This window comes from Homo sapiens, chromosome 11 (assembly GCF_000001405.40).
Source record: "Homo sapiens chromosome 11, GRCh38.p14 Primary Assembly".
Taxonomy (NCBI): Eukaryota; Metazoa; Chordata; class Mammalia; order Primates; family Hominidae; genus Homo; species Homo sapiens.
The window spans coordinates 73,740,480-73,767,050 of NC_000011.10; the positions used below are offsets into that span (position 1 = coordinate 73,740,480).

Genomic DNA, 26,571 nt, shown 5'->3' on the forward strand with positions numbered 1-26,571 from the left:
TTCAGTGTAACTTACCTAGTCAATAAAACTAAAGTTTAAAAATCTAGTAGCCTTTCTCTAAAAGACCTAAATTGAATCAAGATTTTTTGTTTCTCCTAAAGTTAATTTAAAAAAAAAAAAACTAGCTGGCCAGGAGCAGCGGCTCACGCCGGTAATCCCAGCACTTTGGGAGGCCAAGGCAGGCGGATCACCTGAGGTCAGGAGTTTGAGACTAACCTGGCCAACATGGTGAAACCCCGTCTCTACTAAAAATACAAAATTGGCCAGGCGTGATGGCATGCGCCTGTAATCCAGCTACTCGGGGGGGCTGAGGCAGGACAATCGCTTAAACCTGGGAGGCAGAGGTTGCAGTGAGCCGAGATCACGCCAGTGCACTCCAGCCTGGGCAACAGAGTGAGACTCTGTCTTTAAAAAAAAGAAAAAAAAAAACTACACTACACCTGTACAGTCGTATTTAAAAATGGAGAGAATGAATGTGGTTGTATAGAAAATTTGTTAAAATAAGTAATTTCACATCTATGGCTCAAAAGTTGTTTTTAATAAAAGTGGTTTCTCCACAATAATATTTATTAGATCTACAGTATGAGTTTCCAGCATGATGAAATAGAGACATCCAAAGTAAAAACAAAAAATATTTACCTGACAAAACAAAATATACTCCTTCCCCCCACCCCCCCAACAGAGTCTTGCTCTGTCGCCCAGGCTGGAATGCGGTGGCGCAATCTCGGCTCACTGCAAGCTCCACCTCCCGGGTTCACGCCATTCTCCTGCCTCAGCCTCCCAATCAGCTGGGATTACAGGTGCATGCCACCACGCCTGGCTAATTTTTTGTATTTTTAGTAGAGACGGGGTTTCACCATGTTGGCCAGGCTGGTCTTGAACTCCTGACCTAAGGTGATCCACCCACCTCGGCCTCCCAAAGTGCTAAGATTATAGGCGTGAGCCACCGTGCCTGGCCCAAAATATACTCTTACCATATGATCCAGCGACCATGCTCCTTGGTATTTACCCAAAAGAGCTGAAAACATGTCCACACAAAAATCTGCACAAGAAAAAAAAAAAGGACGTACATGTATGTTTACAGCTGCTTTTTATTAGTAACTGGCAAAACTTGAAAGCAACCAAAATGTCCTTCAGTAGGTGAATGGATACACAAACTGTGGTATATCCACACAATTGAGTATTATTCAGCACCAAAAAGAAATAAGCTATCAAATCATAGAAAGACATGCCAGAACCTAATGTGAACTATTAAATGAAAATATCTTATCTCGAAAGGAATGCATACATGATCCAACTACATAATATTCTGGAAAAGACAAAAAGAAATAAAAAATTAAAACAAAATGAAATGAAATTTTTTAAGATTTAATTTTTTAGATCAGTTTTAGGTTCACAGCAAAATTGAGAGGCACTTACTGATATTTCCTATATATCTCCTGCCTCCAGGAGACATATAGGGACAAGAAGGGAATGTGATTTAAAAAGAAAAACAAAATTAAAAAAGAAAAAATAAAATAGGCTGGGCATGGTGGCTCACGCCTGTAATTCCAGCACGTTGGGAGGCTGAGGCAGGTGGATTACTTGAGGTCAGAGGTTCACGACCAGCCTGGTCAATATGGTGAAACCCTGTCTCTACTAAAAATACAAAAATTAGCTGGGTGTGGTGGTGGGCACCTGTAACCCCAGCTACTTGGGAGGCTGAGGCAGGAGAATTGCTTGAACCCAGGAGGCAGAGGTTGCAGTGAGCTGAGATTGTGCCACTGCACTCCAGCCTGGGCGACAGAGCGAGACTCTGTCTCAAAAATAAATAAATAAATAAATAATAATAAAACAAAATAGAAACAGGGTCTGGCTATGGCTGCCCAGCCTTGTCTCAAACTCCTGGATTCAAGTGATCCTCTCGCCTAAGCTTCCCAAAGTGCTGGGATTACAGGCGTGATCCACCACACGCAGACAAAAAAACTTGTTTAACTACATAAAAGCTGCAGATAAGAAAGATACATAATGGTAAAGACAGACTACTGATTACTCTTATCAAAGAAAAATGGGCCAGGCGTGGTGGCTCACGCCTGTAATCCCAACACACTGGGAGGCTGAGGCAGGTGGATCACCTGAGGTCAGGAGTTCAAGACCAGCCTGACCAACACGGAGAAACCCCGTCGCTACTAAAAATACAAAATTAGCTGGGCGTGGTAGCACATGCCTATAATCCCAGTACTTGGGAGGCTGAGGCAGGAGAATCGCTTGAACTCGGGAGATGGAGGTTGCAGTGAATCGAGATTGCCCCATTGACTCCAGCCTGGGCAACAAGAATGAAAATCTGTCTCAAAAAAAAAAAGTAAACAAATACATCAATGCTCAAATGGCTATTTCTCACTTCATTCCAAAACTATTAAATGCTAGGAAATAAGGAGGTTGGGGGATAAGAATGCAAAAACAAATACGAGTAAAGCCCTGACCTGAAAGGAGCTTACAATCCACTGAAGAAAACAAATATGCACACATACAAGAGAGTGAACAAGATAAGAAAGCACTGTAAGGCCAAGCACGGTGGCTCACGCCTGTAATCCCAGCACTTTGGGAGGCCAAGACGGGCAGATCACTCGAGTTTGAGACCAGCCTGGGCAGCATAGTGAAACCCCATCTCTACTAAAAATACACACACAAAAAAAATTAGCCAGATCTTGTGGTGGGCACCTGTAATCCCAGCTACTCCAGAGGCTGAGGCAGGAGAACTACTTGAACCTGGGAGGCGGAGGTTGCAATGACCCAAGATTGCGCCACCGCACTCCAGCCTGATCAACAGAGCGAAACTCTGTCTCAAAAAAAAAAAAAAAAAGAGAAAAAAGAAAGAAAGCACTGTCAGTGTCCAACCTCCATACTAGCAGAGGTATCCTTCTTCAATTTATAAAACATTGCAGGGGTCCCCAGTATCCGTAAGATAATGTTAAACTTTTAGCAGGTCATCAAGGACCTTTATGTCAAACTTGAGTTTGAAGCCAGGTGTGGTGGTGTGTGCCTGTAGTCCCAACTACTCAAGAGTATCAGGTGGGAGGATCACTTGAGCCCAGGAGACTGAGGCTTCAGTGAGACAGGATCACTGCAGCCTGGGCAATATGGCGAGATCCTGTCTCAGAAAAAAACCACCAACCAAAAAAAAACACTTAATTCTGAGCCTAGCCTCCAGTCTCATCTCACACCTTTAACAAACATAAACCTCATCTGCCAATTACAGAAGGCTATTCATTATTCTCCAAGCATACTATGTACTTTAGAGGCTCTGAACCCTTGCTCACATAACACAATTTTGTGAAACTTTTCTTTCCTGGTTACATTATTAGCTCATAAAATTGATATCAGATATGGTTCTGCCTGAAGGAAAAAAAACTAAATTATCTTTCTAAATTACTTTCAGCCTAAGATTGCATCTCTCTAAGAATTTTAGATCAGCCAGGTGCCATGGCTCATGCCTGCAATCCCAGCATTTTGAGAGGCTGAGGCAGGGATCACTTGAGCCCAAAAGTTCAACATGGACAACATGGCAAGACCCTATCTCTACAAAAAATTTTAAACTGGACGGGCGCAGTGGCTCACGCCTGTAATTTCAGCACTTTGGGAGGCTGAGGCGGGTGGATCACGAGGTCAAGAGATGGAGACCATCCTGGTTAACACAGTGAAACCCTGTCTCTACTAAAAATACAAAAAATTAGCCGGGCATGGTGGTGGGCGCCTGTAGTCCCAGCTACTCGGGAGGCTGAGGCAGGAGAATGGCGTGAACTCGGGAGGTGGAGGTTGCAGTGAGCCGAGATCGCACCAATGCACTCCAGCCTGGGTGACAAAGGGAGACTCCATCTCAAAAAAAAAAAAAAAAAATTTAAATTAGCCACATGTAGTAGCACATGCTTGTGGTCCCAGCTACTCAGGAGGCTGAGGGAGGAGTATCACTTGAGCCCAGGAGGTCAAGGCTGTAGTATACTGTGATGACACCACTGCACTCCAGCCTGGGCAACAGAGTGAGACCCTGTCTCCAAAAAAAAAAAAAAAAAAAAAAAAAAAAAAAAAAAAGAATTTTAGATGGCAGCAGGACTTTTATTTTACTCCTACAACAAAGTCAACATACTTTTATAATTGTATCATAAGGACAAAAAGAGAAATCAAAATAGTTTGCACTCTAAAAGAATATTCCAGTGGAAAGTTCAAAATAAGCACTGGGGCTGGGCGCGGTGGCTTACGCCTGTAATCCCAACACTTTGGGAGGCCGAGGCGGGCAGGTCATGAGGTCAAGAGATCGAGACCATCCTGGCCAACATGGTGAAACCCCATCTCTACTAAAAATACAAAAATTAGCTGGGCATGGTGATGCACACCTGTAGTCCCAGCTACTCAGGAGGCTGAGGCAGGAGAATCGCTTGAACCCGGGAAGTGGAGGTTGCAGTGAGCCGAGATCGCGCCACTGCACTCCAGCCTGGTGACAGAGCGAGAATCCATCTCAAAAGAAAAAAAAAAAAAAAGAGTAAAGAGTACTGGCATAAGACTGACTACTAGCACAAGACTCACTTTATCAGCATTATTTCACTCAAACACTTAAGTGTAGAAATTTTAAATAAAGCATGATCCATCTTTTCTTATGGGAAAAAATAGGAAAAATTGGTAATATAATAAACACATTAACACTATCTCAAAGTATCTTGTTAATGCATTTATTTACTAGTTTACCTCTCTCAACTACACACGATAAAATAAGAAACAAGAACTGTATTTTTCTTGTTCATAGCTGTATACTCAGAGAGTCAGTTTCTGCCTGGCACTGAATGAATTAATTAACCAATGGAGAGAAACTTCACCAAGTAGACTTCATTCAGTACTTTAGGCAGTTAATGTGGTCCAGAGTTTGGCCTAAAACAACTTTGCATTCTTAGAAAAATGAAAGTGGATACAACTCACAGAGACATAAAATTAACCTTAAGAAATAGAGACACAGGCCGGGTGCAGTGACTAACGCCTATAATCCCAGTACTTTGGGAGGCTGAAGCAGGTGGATCACTTGAGGTCGGGAGTTTGAGACCAGCCTGACCAACATGGTGAAACCTTGTCTCTATTAAAAATTCAAAAATGAGATGGGTGGATCATCTGAGGTCAGGAGTTTGAGACCAGGCTGGCCAACATGGTGAAACCCTGTCTCTACTAAAAATATAAAAACTTAGTCAGGCATGGTGGCGTGTGCCTGTAATCCCAGCTACCAAGGAGGCTGAGGCAGGAAAACTGCTCGAACCCGGGAGGCAGAAGTTGCAGTGAGCCAAGATCACTCCACTGGACTCCAGCCTGGGTGACAGAGTGAAACTCCATCTCAAAAAAAATAAAAAAATTAGCAGGACATGGTGGTGGCACGCATCTGTAGTCCCAGCTACTCAGCAGGCTGAGGCACAAGAATCGCTTAAACCCTGGAGGCAGAGGTTGCAGTGAGCTGAGACTGCGCCACTGCACTCCAGCCTGGGCAAGAGTGAGACTCCATCTCAAAAAAAAAAAGAAAGAAAGAAATAGAGATACAAAACAATGAAGATCAGTCAAGTGCAGAGTTCGCACCAGTAGTCCCAGCTAACTACTCAGGAGGCTGAGTGAGAGGATCACTTGAGCCCAGGGAGTTCAAGAGCAGCCTGGCCAACAGAGACCCCATCAATTTAAAAGAAAAAAAAAAAGCTGTTGTAAGCTAAAGAGAAAAGAAAAAAAGTCAAATTTTCTAATTTATAGTAAGAAATAACTTTTGTAAGAATGAGAATATTCATCAATTTTTCTCATTCAAGCTGTATATTTATGATTTATATGCTTCTATGTATACTACATATCAATCAAACATTTTCTCTATACACACACACAAAAAATAGCCAGGCACAGTGGCACATGCCTGTAGTCCCAAATACTAGGGAAATTGAGGCAGAAGAAACACTTGAGCCCAGGGGTTCAAAGTCAGTGTGCTATGATTGTGCCACTACACTCCAGCCTAGGTGACAGAGTGAGACTCTGTCTCTTAAAAAAAACCAGCACTTTGGGAGGCCAAGGCAGGAGGATCAGTTGAGCACAGGAGTTCAAAACCAGCCTGGAAACACAGCAAGACCTCATCTCTGCTAAAAATAAAAAAATTTAGCTGGGGATGGTGGTACACACCTGTATTCCCAGCTATGGTGAGAGGATTGCCTAAGCCCAGGAGACTGAGGCTGCAGTGAGCAGTGATCACACTACCATCACACTCCAACCAGGGAGACGTAGCAAAACTCTGCCTCGAAATAAATTAAAAAAAAAAAAAAAAGTGAGTTGTAGAACCAGACTACTGGGTTGAAATCCCAGCTTGCCTACTTACTAACCACGCAACCATGAGACAAGTTAGTTAATCTCTCTGTGCCTCAATTTCCTCACGGTAAAATCAGAATAACAGTAGTACACGTAGTAGGACTGTTTTTTGTTGTTGTTGTTTTTGAGACGGAGTCTCGCTCTGTCACTCAGGCTGGAGTGTGGTGGTGCAATCTCGGCGCACTGCAACCTCCACCTCCCGGGTTCAAGCGTTTCGGCCTCCCAAAGTGCTGGGATTACAGACATGAGCCACCCCAACCAGCCATACGACTGTTTTAACATTCTATTTGGAAATTTTTTTGGCTTATAGAAAAGCTATAAAAATAGTACAGAGAATTTCAGTACACCTTTTACCTGGCTTCCTCTAAGACAAAATCTTCCTTTTTTTTTTTTTCTGAGACGGAGTCTTGCTCTGTCGCCCAGGCTGGAGTGCAGTGGTGCGATCTCGGCTCACTGCAATCTCCACCTCCCAGGTTCAAGCAATTCTCCTGCCTCAGCCTCCATAGCTGGGATTACAGGCGCCCACCAGCATGCCCAGCTACTCTTTGCATTTTTAGTAGAGACCATGTTGGCCAGGCTGGTCTCGAACTCCTGACCTTGTGATCGGAACCCCCCCCCGCCCCGCCCCCGGCCTCCCAAGTGCTGGGAATTACAGCTGTGAGACACCATGCCCGGCCAGCCTCTAAGATAAAATCTTACATAACCACAGCACAATTATCAAAACTAAGAAATTAACAGTGATATAATGTTATTAACTAAACTATGTAACTTATTTAGAATTTCACCCATTTTTCTAATGCCCTTTTTCTGTTCCAAGATGTCATCCAGGATCCCACATTGCATTTAGCTGTCATGTCTCCTTGGTCTCCTCTGATATGTGAGATTTTCCCCATTTTCCCTTGTTTTCATGACATGGACACTTTCAAATAATACTTGTCAGTTGTTTCATGTAATGTTCCTCGATTTGGATTTGTCTGATGTTTTCTCACGATTAGACAGAGGCCATGAATTCTTGGCAAAACTACCACAGAACTGATGTGCCTTTCTCAGTGCATTATAACAGAGGATACATAATGGCCCATTATCTTATTCCTAACGATGTTAACCTTGATCACTTGGTTATTGGTGGTGTCTACAGTGTTTCTTCACCCTGAAGTTAATGTTTTTCCCTTTGTAAATAATAACTATTGGGGAAGATACTTTGAGATGATGCAAACATTGTGTTCTCAAACTTTTGCCCACCAATTTTAAAATTCATCAAAGGGATCTTACCTGCAGCAGTTATTACTGTGGTATTCTAATGGTGATTTTTAAATTTACCTCATTCTGTCTGTATTTGTTAATTGGAATTCTTTTAAAGGAAGAGCTGTCACTTCTTTAGATTATGAACTCATGGATATTTTAATTCTCTAATATAGAGATCCTGAAATATTAAGCTCAAAAACGTGTAAAGGAATGAACAGTATCCCAAAAATAAAGGCCTCTATGAGCAATTATGTATATAAATGTCAAGAATATTTCAATAAGGAGGTCTTCCTCTTTGAGCAGCCATAGCAAAATAGTTACAATACGACGTGTGGAGTTTGCTTTAAAATAACGCACTTTTCCTAAGAGTTCAAGGTTACAGTGAGCTATGGCTGCACCACTGGAATCCAGCCTAGGTGACAGAGTGAGACCTTGTCTCTAAAAAATAAATAGACACATAAAATAACCCACTTTGGTACAGAGGTTGGGAATGCTATATAGATGAAAAAAGATTAAGATACGAGTTAATAATTATTAAAGCTATGTAACAGCTAACAGGGGCTCCTGATGCTAGTCTCCGTATTTTTCTATACATTTAAATTTTTCCATAATGAAGAGTCAAAAAATATTTTAAGGACCCCAAAACACAGTATTTAGTTAAATCACAAGTTCACTTTTCAAATATGCCATTTATACCTGTTGTCTATTTCTGAATCCTCCTTCATCCCCCCAAAATTCTACCAAAGCTAACTTTAAAAAATTATGGATTAGGCTGGGCGCGGTGGCTTACACCTGTAATTCCAACACTTTGGAAGGCCGAGGTGGGCAGATCAATTGAGGTAAGGAGTTCAAGACCAGCCTGGCCAATATGATGACACCCCGTCTCTACTAAAAATAAAAAAATTAACCAGGCGTGGCAGCATACGCCTGTAATCCCAACTACTTGGGAGGCTGAGGCACGAGAATCTCTTGAACCCGGAAGGCAAAGCTTGCAGTGAGCCGAGATCACGACACTGCACTCCAGCCTCGACAACAGACAAAGACTCTATCTTAAAAAAAGGAAAAAAAAGAAATGTGGTATACATCTACCATGGACTACTACTCAGCCATAAAAAGGAACGAAGTAATGGCATTCGCAGCAACTTGGACGGAGTTGGAGACCATTACTAAGTGAAGTAACTCAGGAATGGAAAATCAAACATCGTGTGTTCTCATTTATATAAGCGGGAGTTAAGCTATGAGAACACAAAGGAAAAACAATGAGATAATGGACTTTGGGGACTCACAGGGAAGTGGGAGAGGGATAAAAGACTACATACACACTGGGTAGAGTGTACACTGCTCGGGTGATGGGTGCACCAAAATCTCATAAATCACCACTAAAGAACTCTTCCATGCAACCAAACACCCACCACCTGTTCCCCGAAAACTACTGAAAAATAAAAGTTGTACAGTATACAACTTAATGACAATTTAAGAAACCAAAATAGGCTGGGCTCAGTGGCTCATGACTGTAATCTCAGCCTTTTGGGAGGCCGAGGCCAGAGGATCACTCGAGGCCAGAGCATTGCTCAAGGCCAAGAGTTTGAGACCACCCTGGTCAACAAAGCAAGATCTATCTCTATGAAAAAACTTAAAAATTAGCCAGGTGTGGTGGTATGTGCCTATAGTCCTAGCTACTCGGGAGGCTAAGCCAGGAAGACTGCTTAAGCCCAGGAGTTTGAGGATGCAGTGAGCTGTGATCACATCACTACTCTCCAGCCTGGGTAACAGAGCAAGACCCTGACTGTAAGAAAAAAACAAACTGGCAGGGTATGGTGTCATATGCCTGTAGTCCCAGCTACTCAGGAGGCTGAGGCAGGAGAATCACTTGAGCTCAGGAGTTCAAGGCCAGCCTGGGCAACATAGTGAGATCTTACCTCTAATTACAACATTTTTAACACAAATTTTAAAAAATATTTTTTTTAAATCTGCCTTATAATAACAGGTAAAGATGAGTGTTAGAAGTAAGTGAGAGATACGAAGGTAGACGTCAGACCATGAAAGGGTTTAACTTAGACAAGAGAGTTTGGATTTCATCTCAAAAGTAAAGTTTGTCAGGATGTTTTGGCAAGGTTTAGTCAATCTCACAACGGACAGGATAACAAGGAGGTTTATTTAGTACTTATTAATTTTAAAAATCATAAAATATTTGTCCTTTTGTGACTGCCTTATTTCACTTAGCATAACGTCCTCAAAGTTCATCCACATTGTAGCATGTGTCAGATTTCCTTCCCTTTTTTTTTTTTTTCTTTTGAGACAGAGTCGCACTCTGTTACCCAGGCTGGAGTGCAGTGGCATGATGTCAGCTCACTGCAAACTCCACCTCCCAGTTCAAGGTTCAAGCAATTCTCGTGCCTCAGTCTCCAGGGCAGCTGGGATTATAGGCATGTGCCACCGCGCCCAGCAAATTTTTGTATTTTTAGTAGATGGGGGGGTTTCTCCATGTTGGCCAAGCTGGTCTCAAGCTCCTGGCCTCAAGTGATCCTCATGCCTTGGCCTCCCAAACTGTTGGGATTACAGGCATGAGCCCCCATACCAGGCCAAGATTTCCTTCCTTTTTAAGGCTAATATTCCATTGTATGCATGTGTCACATATTGTTTATTAATTCATCTGTGGATGGATACTTGTTTGCCTCTACCTTTGGCTACTATGAATAATGCTACTATGAGTATGGGGGTAAATAAGTTGGTTTTAATTTTATAGAATGTACTTTTTTTTTGAGGCAGGGTCTTGCTCTGTCTCCCAGGCTAGAGTGAGGTGACACAATCAAGACTCACAGTAGCCTCAACCTCCTATGCTCAAGCCAGCCTCCCAAGTAGCTGGGACTACAGGCATGTGACACCACACCTGGTTAATTTTTTTAATTTTTTGTAAAGATAGGGTCTCACTATGTTGCCCAGGCTGGTCTCCAACTCCTGGCCTCAAGCAATCCTCCCGCCTTAGTGTCCCAAAGTGCTGGGATTACAGGTGTGAGTCACCATGCCCCCCGGCCAAAGTGTACTTTTAAAAAAGAAAAGAGTCAGGCTCACTGGCCTGACTCTATAGTCCCAGCTACTCAGGAGGCTGAGGCAGGAGGATCACTTGAGCCAGGAGTTCCGGGCTGTAGTACGCTATAATCATGCCTGTGAATGGACTGCACTCCAGCCTGGGCAACACAGAAAGACCCCGTCTCAAAAAACAAACCAACTAACCAACCCTAAGCAAGTATTAAGTGTTGGTTCTCGGAAAATCTGAATCATCCAAGTTAGAAAGTAGAAAGCAAATGGAAAAGTAGTAATTGACCTAAAAGACTCAATAATGATCAATTTTAAACCGACAATGGGGAAAGCTGAGAAAGCTGATTTGGACCACAGAACCCCCATTGACTTAGGAATTGTCTGGGCCAAGTACATCTAGAAATAAAGGTAAAGATGGAGCTAAAAACAGAAGGAAGGGATGAAAGTCTATTTAACAAGTAGATTAACACTCTCTTCTATTCCCTCTTCTGTTCAACACAGCTGAAAATTAGAAGATAATGCTGCTGAGAAAGAAAAACGGGGTTTCTGTACTAGGGATTACAAGGTACAGCTGAGGGATAGAGTACAAACAATATTAAAAGCAAGGAGACTAAATGCATTTACTGTATGTTATGACTTCAAACCCTCTCTCCATTCACCTCCAAGAACACTGACAACCAAGATTCTCTCCAGCAGTGCACTGAGTAATTCTTCTTCAGGGAATCTGACCAGCAAAAAGACTTAAAGACCTAACATCAGAGACTCCCAAAAAGGAACTCAGCAAGATCATTCTGCAGTAAAGACCCACAAACCCACACAAGAGCATAAAAAACAAAAACAAAAACACAACTCTCAGTGCTCACCTCTTAAATAGAAGCAAATAGCCAAGAAACACTAGTTTTTTGAGGACCACATCAAACAGGAAATAGAGAAACTAAAACAAGCAGAGATGAAAAACAATTTACAAAAACTAAATATGCAGGAAGAAAAAAGTCATGTATCTTATTAACATCTTCAAAATGACAAGAAAAGGTAAAAATTGGGAATTAAAAAGATGCTACAGAAGGCTGGGTGTGGTGACTCCCACCTGTAATCCCAGCACTTTGGGAGGCCAAGGGGGCAGATCACTGAAGGTCAAGAGTTCGAGACCAGTCTGACAAACAGTGAAATCACGTCTCTACTAAAAATACAAAAATTAGCCAGGTATGGTGGCAGATGCCTGTAATCTCAGCTACTCAGGAGACTGAGGTATGAGAATCGTTTGAACCCGGGAGGTAGAGGTTGGAGTAAGCCAAGATTGCACCATTGCACTCCAGCCGGGGTGACAGGGCAAGATTCTGTCTCAAAAAAACAAAAACACAGATGCTACAGAAAGGAACATTCAGAAGATGAACAAAAACACTCTTTGAAATTAAAATGATAAGAACTGGCACGGTGGCTCATGCCTGTAATCCTAGCACTCTGGGAGACCGAGGCCAGGCAGATCGCATGAGCTCAGGAATTCGAGATGAGCCTGGGCAACATGGCAAAACGCCATCTCTACCAAAAATACAAAAAATAGCCGGCCTTGGTGGCGCATGCTTGTGGTTCCAGCTACTCAAGAGGCCGAGGTGGGAGGATCACTTGAGCCTGGAAGGCACAGGTTGCGGTGAGCTGAGATTGCACCACTGCACTCAAGCCTGGGTGACAGAGTAAGACTCCAGCTCAAAAAAAAGAAAAAAAAAATTAAAATGATAGCAGAAAAAAATAATAAAAAAATGGAAGAAAGTTGAGAAAAATCTTATGAGAATTAAAACAGAAGCTTAAGGAAATGAAAGAGACCAGATGAAATAAAATCAGGAAGTCTAATAAAAAGTCCAAGCCAGGTGAGGTGGTGCATGCCTGTAATTCCAGAGTCAGGAGCTTGAGGCGGGAATCACTTGAGGCCAGGAGTTGGAAAGCAGCCTGGCAACACAGCAAGACCTCGTTTGCTAAAAAAATTTTTTTTAATCAGCCGAGCGCAATGGCGAATGCCTCTAATCCCAACAGCTCCAGAGGCTGAGGTGGGAGGATCACTTGAGCCCAGGAGCTCGTGGCTGCAGTGAGCTATAATGGCACCCCTGTACTGTAGCCTGGGTGAGACAGCAAGGAGTTCAAGACTAACCTGGCCAACATGGCCACTCACTGCAACCTCTGCCTCCCGGGCTCAAGTGACTCTCCTGCCTCAGCCTCCTGAGATGGGATTACAGATGCACGCCATCATGCCCAGCTAATTTTTTGTATTTTAGTAGAGACAGGGTTTCACCATGTTGGCCAGGCTAGTCTCCAACTCCAGACCTCGCCGGGCACAGTGGCTCATGCCTGTAATCCCAGCACTTTGGGAGGCCGAGGCAGGCAGATCACGAGGTCAGGAGATCGAGACCATCCTGGCTAACACGGTGAAACCCCGTCTCTACTAAAAGTACAAAAAATTAGCCGGGCATGGTGGCGGGCGCCTGTAGTCCCAGCTACTCCGGAGGCTGAGGCAGGAGAATGGCATGAACCCGGGAGGCAGAGCTTGCAGTGAGCCGAGATTGCGCCACTGCACTCCAGCCTCGGTGACTGAGCGAGATTCCGTCTGAAAAAAAAACAAAAAAACAAAAAAACTCCAGACCTCAAGTGATCTGCCCACCTAGGCCTCCCAAAGTGCTGGGATTACAGGCGTGAGCCACCACGCCCAGCCTTAGCTCTACTTTTAAAAGCAGTGGCACTCATCATGCTATATTGTATTAAGTATTGTGTATTTCTTCCCTGATAAAACGTAAATTCCTTAAAAGTAAGCACTACCAAACCACCTGACACTGTAGCAATTTTCAATAAAGATTTGTTAAATTAAAACACTTTCTGAGCACTTCTCATGTGCCCAGCACTCTTCTAAATGTTTTGCATTATTTGACTAGTTTAAATGTCACAATAACTCTATGATAGGTCTATTATCTTTATGTTATAGATAAGGAAAAATGGGGCATAAAGACATGTTGAGTAATCTGCCAAAGGTCAGTAGCCACTGCTAAAACATGAAACCTAGACTCTTACTCTCCATCTCTACCAGTCCTCTAGTGCTCTAAATCATTAACTGTATGTACCACGCAGTTTTAAGGCTTCAGAACAAGATATGAAAAACTGGCAACATTATAACAGGAGATACAATTGACTTGATATTACCTAACCCAGCAGTTTACAAAGAGTGGTCTACTGACCCCTTAGGATCTCCCAAGACCTTTGGGGAGGTCCACAAACTCCTGGATGTCAAAACCATTTTCATAAGATTAAGATGTTATTTGAATTTTTCACTCTTACTCTCTTGAAATGTATTGTGGAGTTTCCCCGTGCCTATATGATGTGTAATATTACAGGATTGAATGCATAAGCAGCTATGCAAATCCAATTGTCCTCTATTAAGTCAGACATTAAAGAGATTTGCAAATATGTAAAACAATGTCACTCTCACTAAATATCTGTTTGGAAAATAGTTCTTTTTCATTTCAGAAATGATGTTAACATGAAGGCTGGGCACAGTGGCTCATGCCTGTAATCCCAGCACTTTGGGAGACCAAGGCAAGCAGGTCACTTGAGGCCAGGAGTTTGAGACCAGCCTGGCCAATATAGCAAAACCCTGTCTCTACTAAAAAGTCAAAAAATTAGCCAGGCATGGCGGCATGTACCTGTGGTCCCAGCTATTCAGGAGGCTGAGGCATGAGAATCGCGAACCCGGGAGGCACTCACTCCATCCTGGGCAACAGAGGGATGCAGTCAAAAAAAAAAAGGGTATTAACATGCAATGGGTTTATTATTATTATTATTATTTTTTTGAGATGGAGTTTTGCTCGTTGCCCAGGCTGGAGTGCAATGGCGTGATCTTGGCTCACTGCAACCTCCACCTCCCGGGTTCAAGGGACTCTCCTGCCTCAGCCTCCTGAGTAGCTGGCACTACCACTGGGACCGTCCACCACCATGCCAGGCTAATTTCTTTGTATTTTTAGTAGAGACGGGGTTTCACCATATTGGCCAGGTTGGTCTCAAACTTCTGGCCTCAAGTGATCCGCCCACCTCGGCCTCTCAAAATGCTGGGATTACAAGCATGAGCCACCACGCTCGGCCCTATTATTTTTTAACATATTAAATATTTTGAAATTTTCTTTTTCAATACAGTAAATGTTGATATATTTATTCATTTATTTTGAGATGGAGCCTCACTCTGTTGCCCAGGCTGGAGCGCAGTGGCACGATCTTGGCTCACTGCAACCTCCACCTCCCGAGTTCAAGCAATGCTCCTGCCTCAGCCTCCCGAAGAGCTGGGACTACAGGCACGCACCACCATGCCCGGCTAATTTTGTATTTTTAGTAGAAACGGGGTTTCGCCATGTTGCCCAGGCTGGTCTCGAACCCCTGACCTCAGGTGATCCACCCACTTCGGCCTCCCAAAGTGCTGGGATTATAGGCGTGAGCCACCGCACCCGGCCTAAATGTTGACATAAACTACATAAACAAAAGTCAGGCACAGTGGCATGTGCCTATAGTCCCAGCTACTAGGGAGGCTGAGGCAGGAGGAGAGCTTGAGACAAGGCTGCAGTTGGCCATGATAGCCCCTGTGAACAGTCACTGCATCCAAGAAGGGGGAAGGAAATGGGAAGAGGAAAGGAGGAAGGAAGGGAGAAAAGGAAAGGAAGGGGGAGGTGGAAAGGGGGAAGGAAGGGAGAAGGGGGAAGGAAGAGAAAGAAGAGGAGGAGGAGGAAGAAGAACAAGAGGAGGAGGAGAAGGAAGAGGAGGAGGAAGAAGAGGAGGAGGAGAAAGAAGAGGAGGAGGAGGAAGAAGAACAACAATAACAACTACATTAACAGAGCTCTTCAGGATCCTCAAAAATTTGTAAGAGCAGAAAGGGGTCTTGGGGAAAAAAAGTTTAAAAACCACTGATCTAGCCAATATAAAATGTTCAGTACTGGCCAGGCGTGGTGGCTCACACCTGTAATCCCAGCACTTTGGGAGGCTGAGGCCGGAGGATCTCGCCAGCTCAAAACTTTGAGACCAGCCTGGGCAACATGGTAAAATCCCATCTCTACAAAAAAATACAAAAATTAGCCAGGCGTGGTGGTGCGTGCCTGTTGTCCCAGCTACTTGGGAGGCTGAGGTGGGAGGATCACTTGAGCCTGGGAGGTGGAGGGTGCAGTGAGCTGAGATCACACCACTGCACTCCAGCCTGAGTGACAGAGGTAGACCCCGTCTCAAAAGAAAAACAACTGGTCAGTACTGCTAGTCTCTGACAATAAGACATTTTTTCCTTATCTAACATATTGCAATTTGATCAGCATTGATGGAAAAAAAGAAAAGGCAATATAAAGTGAAAAAAACAGTAGTAGGCTGAGTATGCGCTTCTCTCTGCCATTACATCTCCTAATTTATAATTGGTAACATGTATATATAGTGAAATCTTCTACTGTAAACCACTGAGTGACATTACTAAAACTGCCTCTGCATCTCAAGACAATAGCCAGAGGTAGTAACAAAACAGACTCCTCAAGGAAACTTCCAATTGTGTATTTCAACATTCCTTTATTTATTTATTTAGAGACAAAGTCTCGCTCTGAGGCCCAGGCTGGAGTGCAGTGGGGCAATCTCAGTTCACTGCAACCTCCACCTCCTGGGTTGCAGTTTTCCTGCCTCAGCCTCCTGAGTAGCTGGGATTACAGGCACACGCCACCACGCCCAGCTAGTTTTTGGATTTTTAGTAGAGATGGGATTTTGCCATGTTGGCCAGGCTGGTCTTGAACTCCTGACCTCAGGTGATTTGCCTGCCTCGGACTCCTAAAGTGCTGGGATTACAGGCGTGAGCCACCACGCCCAGCCAAACATTCCTTTATTAAACCGTAAGAATTTATCTAAGGTTAAGATTGATGTCATTAACTCAATCTGCTTCATGTACTGACACAATTCATTTTCACTATAGAGCGTAGTATCTTAAATATACATACATATATATATATATATATATATATATATATATTTTTTTTTTTTTTTTTTTTTTTTTTTTTCTTGAGACAGAGTCTCACTCTGTCACCCAGGCTGCAGTGCAATGGCATGATCTCAGCTCACTGCACCCTCCGCCTCTCAGGTTCAAGCGATTCTCCTGCCTCAGCCTCCTGAGTAGCTGGGATTACAGGCTCCCACCCGCCATCATACCTGGATAATTTTTGTATTTTTGTAGAGACCGGGCCATGGGGTGGGGGGGAGCCGGGGACTCCACCATGTTAGCCAGGCTGGTCTTGAACTGCTGACCTCAGATGATTCACCTATCTCAGCCTCCCAAAGTGCTGGGATTACAGGCATGAACCACCGCACCCAGCCTAGTATCTTAAATTTTTGATAAGCCAAATAAAACCTAATTTCAAATCAGTTCCATGAGCACATCATTGGTATAATTTGAATACTTTTCATGCGTTACATTAATAGCAAATAATTTAACAACTTTAATAAAGGAAGACGAATTTTGCTCAACTCAAAAAAAAGTACAAAATTCAGGTCAGTCCTATTTTTTGAATGAAATGGTTGGGCCTCTAAACGATTGGTTTCTCTACCCCCTTAAGTATCTGATATATTCCTGTATACAATCAAATGATGTAAGTTTTAAGTGTTATTGTTAAACTATCAATTGCGTAACCATGTCAAAGAGTGTAACATAGGCTACTAGCTTTCGTTACTACTAGATTCAGCCATCATTCATTTACCCAACATGTCTGAACAGCTACTATGAGCCTGGCTCTACGCTAGGCAATGGGGACACACTGAACAAAAAAGAATAGTTTTTATCTTCATGGGAGTTGCATTCTTCTGTGGGAAATAAAAACAAACACATAAAAAATAAGATAATTGTAAATGTGGTAAATGCTATTAAGAAGAAACAAGGCTTTGCCATAGATTACAGTCTTTGAAAGCTGAATTGTGGAATTCTAACAGACCTAAAAATAAATAATTCATGAAGAGTTACATCAAAAGGACATGGAGTCTACAGACTTCTAACGCATAAGAAAACTATAGACACTGACCATGAAAACAGAGATCAATCTTTCATTGTCAAAGCTAATGAATGGCATTACTTGACAATATAGTAACCTCAAAAGATAATTAACTTCACATCCTGAATTGAATGCTGAAACAGAAAAAGGACATTAGGTTAAAACTAAAAATCTAAATAAACTATGGACTTAAGTTAATAATAACATATCAATATTAGTTCATTAATTGTTAACAAATGTGCCATACTAATGCAAGATGTTGATAACAGGGGAAACTAGATGTGTGGGTATATGGGAACTCTACACTATCTTTTCAATTTTTCTGTAAGTCTAAAACTGTTCTAAAAAATGAAGTCTATTAAAAAAAATCTAACCAGGCTTCAGTAATGGAGGGGGGAGGGTAGTAGAGGCTTAAACAAGGTACGAAATTAGAAGCCATAAAACTCTCCATTATGCATTAGAACATACACAAATACTCAAGAAATTCAAAGGAAACCTGAAGATACTTAGGAAGTTAAGCACTCCATTCATGCTAAAACCTTTTTAGGCAGGAAGATGAATAGGTTTTTTCATGCAAACTAAATAGCTGTGCATCACAACATAAGGAAGGCAATAATATCCTTAGAATGCACAATAAGCACTTTGGATCCTTTTTATCAATAATAACCAATAAACTATATTTTATGTTTGGGAACTATCCTGATATTGACACAGAAAAGCTGGACTAGAAGCAACTCCATAGGTTCTACCAAGTTACTCACCTAAAGACACAAGTTTATACTTACTTCAGGAAAATATATAAGCAAAAAGGAGGGAGATTGTATTTTTCCCCCCAAAAGGGAGGAGGGGAAGATAATCTACACATGAAAGGAGAAAAATGATTTCCCAGTTCTAACTGGAGGCAATTTTGCAAGAGTATTAACCTCTGTGATGGCATACAAATTAGTATAAATAGTTCAAAGTAGTAATAAAAGCTACGAATTTATATCACTTACATGCCTTCCAGTCAAAACAAATAACTAATGTTTTCTATAACCTCACCTAAAACACCTAGTAGGTACTCAATGTTTGATGACTCAGAACTAATCTCTCAATGTCTGAATTTTAAAGATGGGCATGCAAAGTATGAGAAAAACAAAGGAGGGTAATCATCTCTGAATTGTCGAGTGTCAAGTTTGTATAATACAGCATAAAACTGGAATTACTACAAGAAGTAATCGTAGATACAACCATCACAAAATTAGGATCTAGTATCTAATACAAAAGTACAGTGACAGCAGAACCTGACCAGGTAAATGACATAACAATTTCACTCATCAGACAGTACAGAATATTAAGCATAAAAGAATTATTTAGCCCAAATGGTATTTAAATCTAATTTAGGTAACTAGATGATGAGTCTGTTCCTACTCTACTCCATTTTCCAAAGGAAATCCGACAAAACAAAGATGTTTGTTATTCCAAGCCTTCTCTCACATGAATCCTCAATATATCATTGGAAAATACTCAAGAAGGAATGAATAATTAACATTTCCCCAGTAATTCCCTTTTGTACCACCATGAGACTCAGACGCTGCTTCATGTTGAAAAGAGAAAAAGGGGAGGTGAGATGAGAAAAATTCCAAGTAAAATGATCATGACATAGCATCTGGCAGAGATTGAAAAATCATCAACATTGCCAAAAGAATTGTCAGTGATGAAAGTCAAGAGAACAAAATGAGGTTTTCCGACAAGCCACAGCCCCATCTAACCTAAGGGGCAAAAATCTCCACTGCCGACGCTACCCCTTTCACCCCCAACCACCCCATGCTCAAGTCGTCTCCAATTCAGATGTTTCCTCTATGGCCCAGACTAATTTCCCACCCAGGTGAAAATCATTTAATTTTTTCTACTACCACCCCTTCCCACCTTCCACGACATCAGCACTTCGCAGGGCCAAGCCTCTGGGGAAAACAACGCCCAGATCCCACCCTCCTTGGCCAAGGTTGAAGAGGGCCCGCTCTCGGGAGTGGGGCTTCCCTGAGTGGGCCTCACAGAGCTGAGGAACTGGGAAAAGAGCAAGGAATAAGGGTGGGGCTCAAGAAAGGGGGCCGGGGTACGGGCAATGACCGAGACCGGAGGAAGAAAGGGATGGACAAGAGGCTGGGCGGGGTGAGGTCTGGGGAGGGAGGGCAGATCGACCGGAGATGGCCGGACTGCGGGGAACGGAGCCGGGGAGTCGAGGATTGAAGAACCCGGGGAACAGGGTAAAAACTCGGCCACTGGCGAAGAGCCAGTGGCACCGGGGGGCACATCGGGAAGGGCTGCGGTGGCAACGAGCGCGGACGCGAGGCGGGCAGGGAGCCTCCGCGGACGGAAGGGCCGCACCGGGGGCGGTGCGGGGACGCTGCGGCCAGCTGCCAGGAGTAGGGGAGCCACGCACTCACCGCTTTGCTCCCCCAGGAACACCAGCTTGAATTTCCTCAGCGGATTCCCGAAGTCTCCGCCCGTGGACATTGTGGAACTAGAGGAGCGGCCGCCGCCTCAGCCTAGAGACCTCCCGGACCGATGCTGCTCCAGCCAGCTGACGAAAAAGGCGAGCGGAAGGGCGGGCACCGAGCTCTCTCGGCCCCTGCAAGGCCCGGTGGAGGAGCCCGGCTGGAGGGCAGCAGGACTCTCCACAGACTGGCAGCCGCCGCCGCCTCCCGGCAGAGTAGCCTAGCACCGAGCGAGGCCCGCGGCTGGGAAGGGAAGGAGGGCGGTGTCGGCAGGAGCCAGGGGTGTCCTCTGGCTTCCCAAAGCTAGGGCCGTTCCCTCCTTCCGCACTCGGCTCCCAGACCTGGGGAAGAGAAGCTGAGGGTGGCGGAGCCGGAACCGCAGACGTATCTGGGACCTCTCACGCGCAGCGCCTGAGCTTCCACAGCTGCCGCCGCCGCCGCAGCCCAACCTGCTGAGTGCGCGAGCCTCTGGAGCGGCGCGGGGCGAGCCCGGGCGCGAGCCTGCGGCCCCGCCGGCCGCTGGCGTGCGTGCGTGCGTGCATGCGTGCGCGCCACCGCCATCGCCATCGCCTTCCTGGTTTGGACAGCTCTACCGGCTCCTCCCGCACGGCGGCGACGGGGCAGGTTAGGTTTCCACTGGCGTCAAAAGAAGCCAGGAGGAGGCGGGGCAAGCCAGGGATAAGTTAGTGGGAGGCTGGAGCCCTTACGTCACTTACATAATGAGCCAATCGGAAGGGGCTGAGGGCGAGCCCACACGCGAGTGAGGTGGCAGCGTGAGAGCGCGCGCAGCCCTCGAGCTGTGGAAAGCGGAGCACTGTGGCGGCCATAAGAAGTGTGGCGCCTCTCAGCCTGAGGGGAGGGGAAGGAAAGAAAGGGGAGGGGGAGAAGGGTGGGGCGGAGGCGGGGCCGGGACAAAGGTGGAATATGATCCCCCAAAAAGTGTGGGTGGGGTCCTATAGCCTTAAAATTTGTAATGGGAGCCTCTTTCCTGAGCCCTCAGCCGTGCCTCACAGTCCTCAGATCCCTTCTTCACCATTGCACACACCCCACCTTCTCCATCCTCTCATCATAATTCCTCACAGGCATCTTACTAAATAACATTCTCCTCCATTGCTCCCAGGAATGTTATAACTGCCAGAATCATGGCCTCCCAATTTTGCAGATGAGGAAACTGAAGCTTAGAGGGAGTAAATGACTTGCAAAATCCATAAAGCGGGCTGGGCGCGGTGGCCCACGGCTGTAATCCCAGCACTTTGGGAGGCGGAGGCGAGTGGATCACGAGGTCAAGAGATCGAGACCATCCTGGCCAACATGGTGAAACCCTGTCTCTACTAAAAATGCAAAAATTAGCTGGGGGTGGTGGCGCGCGCCTGTAGTCCCAGCTACTCGGGAAGCTGAGGCAGGAGAATCGCTTGAACCCGGGAGGCGGAGGTTGCAGTGAGCCGAGATCACACCACTGCACTCCAGCCTGGCGACAGAGCGAGACTCCATCTCAACAGAAAAAAAAAAAAAAAAAAAAAAAAAAAGCCGGGCGTGGTGGCTCATCCCTGTAATCCCAGCACTTTGGAAGGCTGAGTTGGGTGGATCACCTGACGTCAGGAGTTCCAGACCAGCCTTGGCCAACATGATGAAACCCCATCTCTACTAAAAATACAAAAAATTAACGTGGTGTGGTGGCGGGTGCCTGTAATCCCAGCTACTTGGGAGGCTGAGGCAGGAGAATCGCTTGAACACGGGAGGCGGAGGTTGCAGTGAGCCAAGGTCACACCATTGCACTCCAGTCTGGGCAACAAGAGCGAGACTCTGTCTCCAAAAAAAAAAATCCATAAAGCAGCTGGGCGCGGTGGCTCACGTCTGTAATCCCAGCACTTTGGGAGGCCGAGGCGGTAGAATCGCTTGAGCCCAGGAGTTCGAGACCAGGCTGGGCAACAAAGCAAGACACTATCTCTACAAAAAATAAAATAGCCGAATATCGTGGTGTGCTCCTGTAGTTCCGGCTACTCAGGAGCCTGAAGCAGAAGGATTGCTTGAGTCCAGGAGTTGGAGGCTGAGGTATGGCACCACTACACTGAAATCTGGGTGACAGAACAAGTCCCTGTCTTAAAAAAAAAAAAAAAAAACAAAAAAACTTTCTAAGTGAATAATAAAAAATATGTCCTTACATTTGTGTCTATACACAAATGTATATCATTTGTGTATATCATTCACAAAACATTTATGTACTTTTTCTCATTATTGGGGAGTTATTTGCTTAGCTGTAGAAATGACAGGATTGAAAAAGTGCCTTCTCAGGCCCAGGGATGAATTGCTGACCTAGAATAAATTACAGGGAAGAACCAAAGTTCTTAAAATATCATCTATTCTGGCCTATCAAGACAACAGCTATATCCTCAAACCATCTCTATCAAAATTTACTCCCTTCTGGTTCCTCTCCCAGCCATGTGCAGGTAGAACATGCATCTAAAATAAAATGGTAAAAACCTGGCTTGTAGCATGGACATTTGATTTTACAAGTAGTTTGTCAGATCTAATAGGGTCCTCTCCACCATTAACCCAGAACCCTGGCACATACAAAGAGCAGCTTAAACCAAGAAACTTTTTAAAAAGATTATGCAAACAAAAGTGAGTAGCTATTTTCTTTCTGATGGGTACCAAGTTTTCATTATGCTTCCTGAAATAGACTTTAAAGTAACATCTGAGGATTGGAACTATAATTACTTTGTACTTCCTACAGAACTTTATGAATCAGTCCTCCCTGCTGCTTTGGTCTCTGTAGTCACCTAGACAGGTGGTACTGTTCCCTGTCATTTTGAAGGGCCTTATGGTCTAGTCCACCTCTTACCTAAAATGTTTTAATGTTTTAAGCTTTCATTTTGCATTGACACATACACAGCCTCATTATCCTCTGAAGCTGCCTTCATATTACCAAGTACTCTGTGTAAGTTTTGTCTTCAGAGACTTTATGGCCTAAACATTGCATATTAAGTGCTGTAGGGTATAGCAAATGGAAAAATTACTCAGGAGAAAGAGGAATTAGAGAGGCCCTTTTCAAGAGTATTTTCACCAACATTTTCACCTTCATGATTTCCTACGCTCACTTCTCTTTACTGCAAACACTCTTCCCCTCCCTTCCCCACTCTTCCCCAATTCCTACTCATCCTTCAGTTAAAGAAATTGTCTTTTTTTTTTTTTCTTTTAAATCACTTACCACTTAAAGAAGTTGTCTTTGTCCATTCAGGCTGCTATAACAGAATACCATGACTGGGTGGCTTAAACAACAAATGTTTATTTCTCACAGCTGGAGACTGGAAAGTCCAAGAGCAAGGTACCAGAAGATACTGTGTCTGGTGAAGGCCCACTTCCTGGTTCATAGACAACCATCTTCTCACTGTGCCCTCACATGGCAGAAAGAGAGCAAGAAAGCTCTCTGGGCTCCCTCTTACAAGGGAACTAATCCCATTTATGAGCACTCCACCCTCATGACCTAATCACCTCCCTAGGGTCCCACCTACTAATACCATCACATTGGGGACTATAGTTTCAACATATGAATTTTGGGGAGACACAAACATTCAGTCTACCACACAAGTCTTGCTCCCATCTGCTCCCATCCCCACTAACAGTATAAGTACCTTTGCCTGTCCTATTGTATCCTATTCTTAATTGCTGTTCATTGTCAGTGTTCCCTACTTGACTGTAACCTCCACGAGGTCAGATCTCATCTTGTATCCCCAGTGCTTGAAGAGTGCTTGCTACATAGTAAGCATGCAGCAGATGTTTGCTGACAAAATCAAATAAAAGAGGAATTATTTTTCACTGTCTTCAAAGGATGAATGGGATTTGGGCATGCAGAGAAGGAAGGTTAAGAGCATTTTGGAGAAAGAGAACATTACCCAAAAATATGTCATGTAATTTGATACTTCTTTCCTAAACCATTACTTATGAAAAAGATGCTGAGAACAGATCTTGTAACTAAAAATTAGGAACAATGGGAGAGGACAGTCTTCACAGCTCCAAATTCAAAGTACCTAAAGCAGCTTTCATTATCTATTTAAAGGTCATATCTAAATTGAAGCCCAGGAGTATGTAGGGAATCTATCACACAGAAATTGTAATAAAATTATAGCTTATCTTCTGCCCTGAGAGACACAAAACTTCTTGCAGGAGGACTGAATTTTTTTTTTTTTTTTTTTTTTGAGACAGAGTTTTGCTCTTGTTGCCCGGGCTGGAGTGCAATGGCGTGATCTCGGCTCACCGCAACCTCCGCCTGTCGGGTTCAAGCAATTCTCCCACCTCAGCCTCCTGAGTAGCTGAGATTACAGGCATGTGCCATCACGCCCAGCTAATTGTGTATTTTTACTAGAGATGGGGTTTCTCCATGTTGGTCAGGCTAGTCTCGAACCCCCGACCTTAGATGATCTGCCCATCTTGCTCTCCCAAAGTGCTGGGACTACAGGCGTGAGCCACTGTGCTTGGCTGAAATTTCTCTTTTTCCTTTTTGGAGACAGAGTCTTACTCTGTCCAGGCTGGAGTGCAGTGGCCGATCTCGGCTCACTGCAACCTCCACTTCCTGGGTTCAAGCGATTCTCCTGCCTCAGCCTCCTGAGTAGCTGAGATTACAGAAGTGTGCCACCATGTCCAGCTAATTTTTGTATTTTCAGTAGAGACGGGGTTTCACCATGTTGGCCAGGCTAGTCTCAAACTCCTGACCTCAAGTGATCCTCCTGCCTTGGCCTCCCAAAGTGCTGAGATTACAGGCGTGAGCCACTGCGCCCAGTCAATTTCATCTTATTCTTAGTGACAGACACTAGTGGTTGCATATCCAGCAATGCACACATAACACACACACATACTTCCACCATATATACTAGAAATGACAGATGTGTTTCCAGCCTCCCTTCAGCTAAGTTATAGGCACATGAGTCCATCTGAGCCAGTGGGAGATGAAGGAAATGTGCTAGAGGCTTTTTTTATTCTAAGAGAAGAAGAGAGATAGAGAGACATATTTTCTTCCTTGATGAAAAGGAATAAATGAGAAAAAACTGCCATTTTTCTGCCATTGATGTAGCTGTGTAAGGACATGATATTTAGAGCTAAGATAGCTCTTCTGAACATTGAAGCTCTGCCTCCCGGGTTCACGCCGTTTTCCTGCCTCAGCCTCCCGAATAGCTGGGACTACAGGCGCCTGCCACCATGCCCGGCTAATTTTTTTGTATTTTTAGTAGAGATGGGGTTTCACTGTGTTAGCCAGGATGGTCTTGATCTCCTGACCTCGTGATCTGCCCGCCTCAGCCTCCCAAAGTGCTGGGATTATAGGCGTGAGCCACCGCACCCGGCCGAACATTAATATATAATTCTAATGAAAAAAGCCAATCATTGATGACGGCTAAGCAGAAAGCTAAAAGGCATCATTGAGCCGCTGTACCAGCCCTGGAACTGGCCGCCTAGATTTCTTTTTAGTAACATAATAAATGTCTTTATATTTAATAATGCTTTTATGTGTCTTTGTATTTCTTTGTTATTGTTACTTGCAGCTCACATTCTCATATTTAGATCCCTTAAAACACCTTGCATAGTTCCTTGAATATTAGGCACTCAATATTGTATGTGTATATATAAAGTAGTAGTTACCACACTGGAACTGCCTTTTTCTGTTTACTACTCCCTAAAAAGGGATTTATTACTGTTGGAGAGGCAGGAAATCAATAGAAGGAGAAAAACTGTACAGGTAAAAGGACTGAAATCATATTGCTCACATTTGAAACAAATAATAGCTCTGGCAGGAATTCAAATTCCATCAAATGCAAAGCCCTTCTAACCCACACTGCAGGTTATTATAATCATTGCTACTAAAAATAATAATGGGTCAATATACAAAGCATAAAAATGACAAATGCTCAGTAATTCAAGGTGACCAGTTAAATGAGTACAATTAACACAAGGTATGTTGAAGTAAGTCTCATTTTTAAAAGACTACAAAAAATAAAGGGGGAGACGAGTCATGTTAAAACCTGTTTTCCAAATACTTTGACCTATAAGGACATGCCATGGGAGAATAAAGATTATTCAGTCAAAGTGGAGAAGGTGTTAGAACTTAAATGGAATGGTCCTTCCTGTAATTATAGCCAATTAATAGCTAAGTCAGAAGATATTTTTGCTACGGATTGATCTACAGAATCTATTTTTGATAATTCCATTTTGTTCTGTTCATGTGAATCATGGTCCCCATTATGAATAATGTGATTTCTCAAAGCCTTGTAAGTGAGGTGTTACTTCCAGGCTTTGAAATTGCAGTGGGGGAAGAACTTGCTGCTTTTTATGCTAGTCCAGAATGTATAAAATCTGACACATTGCTGGAGCTCTCCTCTCCCCACACTCTATCCCCCACAAATAATAAAGTCTCCTCTAAGATGTACAAGAGAATGAATCACTCC

General features: G+C 43.8%; 1 protein-coding gene and 1 long non-coding RNA gene across 5 annotated transcripts in view, besides 5 other annotated features; one reads left to right on the forward strand and one right to left on the reverse strand.

Moving 5' to 3' along the window:
* RAB6A (RAB6A, member RAS oncogene family) overlaps positions 1–20,595 on the reverse strand; it is an 85,437-nt gene extending 64,842 nt beyond the window's left edge. For 3 of the 4 annotated variants that reach the window (NM_001243718.2, NM_198896.2, NM_002869.5), the window contains exon 1: positions 20,087–20,595. In NM_001243718.2, coding sequence (NP_001230647.1) covers positions 20,087–20,156 — 70 coding nt within the window. In that variant the 5' untranslated portion in view covers positions 20,157–20,595. Of the gene's footprint in view, positions 1–19,568; positions 19,617–20,086 lie in introns of those variants that run through there. The other variant, NM_001243719.2, reaches the window with a different exon arrangement.
* Positions 10,066–10,566: an enhancer, noted in NCBI's record as "H3K4me1 hESC enhancer chr11:73461590-73462090 (GRCh37/hg19 assembly coordinates)". NCBI's record gives its function as "activates a minimal SCP1, AML or CMV promoter by ChIP-STARR-seq in naive H9 embryonic stem cells {active_cell/tissue: H9 hESC(naive)}" and the evidence as "EXISTENCE:reporter gene assay evidence [ECO:0000049][PMID:30033119]".
* Positions 10,567–11,067: an enhancer, noted in NCBI's record as "H3K4me1 hESC enhancer chr11:73462091-73462591 (GRCh37/hg19 assembly coordinates)". NCBI's record gives its function as "activates a minimal SCP1, AML or CMV promoter by ChIP-STARR-seq in naive H9 embryonic stem cells {active_cell/tissue: H9 hESC(naive)}" and the evidence as "EXISTENCE:reporter gene assay evidence [ECO:0000049][PMID:30033119]".
* Positions 19,746–20,246: an enhancer, noted in NCBI's record as "H3K27ac hESC enhancer chr11:73471270-73471770 (GRCh37/hg19 assembly coordinates)". NCBI's record gives its function as "activates a minimal SCP1, AML or CMV promoter by ChIP-STARR-seq in naive H9 embryonic stem cells {active_cell/tissue: H9 hESC(naive)}" and the evidence as "EXISTENCE:reporter gene assay evidence [ECO:0000049][PMID:30033119]".
* Positions 20,543–20,852: a silencer, noted in NCBI's record as "silent region_3747". NCBI's record gives its function as "represses an Ori minimal core promoter by ATAC-STARR-seq in GM12878 lymphoblastoid cells {active_cell/tissue: GM12878}" and the evidence as "EXISTENCE:reporter gene assay evidence [ECO:0000049][PMID:35858748]".
* Positions 20,679–22,621, forward strand: LOC124902711 (uncharacterized). The gene is made up of 2 exons (XR_007062775.1): positions 20,679–20,761; positions 21,258–22,621. It is a non-coding gene; the product is annotated as an uncharacterized LOC124902711 (long non-coding RNA).
* Positions 21,013–21,202: a silencer, noted in NCBI's record as "silent region_3748". NCBI's record gives its function as "represses an Ori minimal core promoter by ATAC-STARR-seq in GM12878 lymphoblastoid cells {active_cell/tissue: GM12878}" and the evidence as "EXISTENCE:reporter gene assay evidence [ECO:0000049][PMID:35858748]".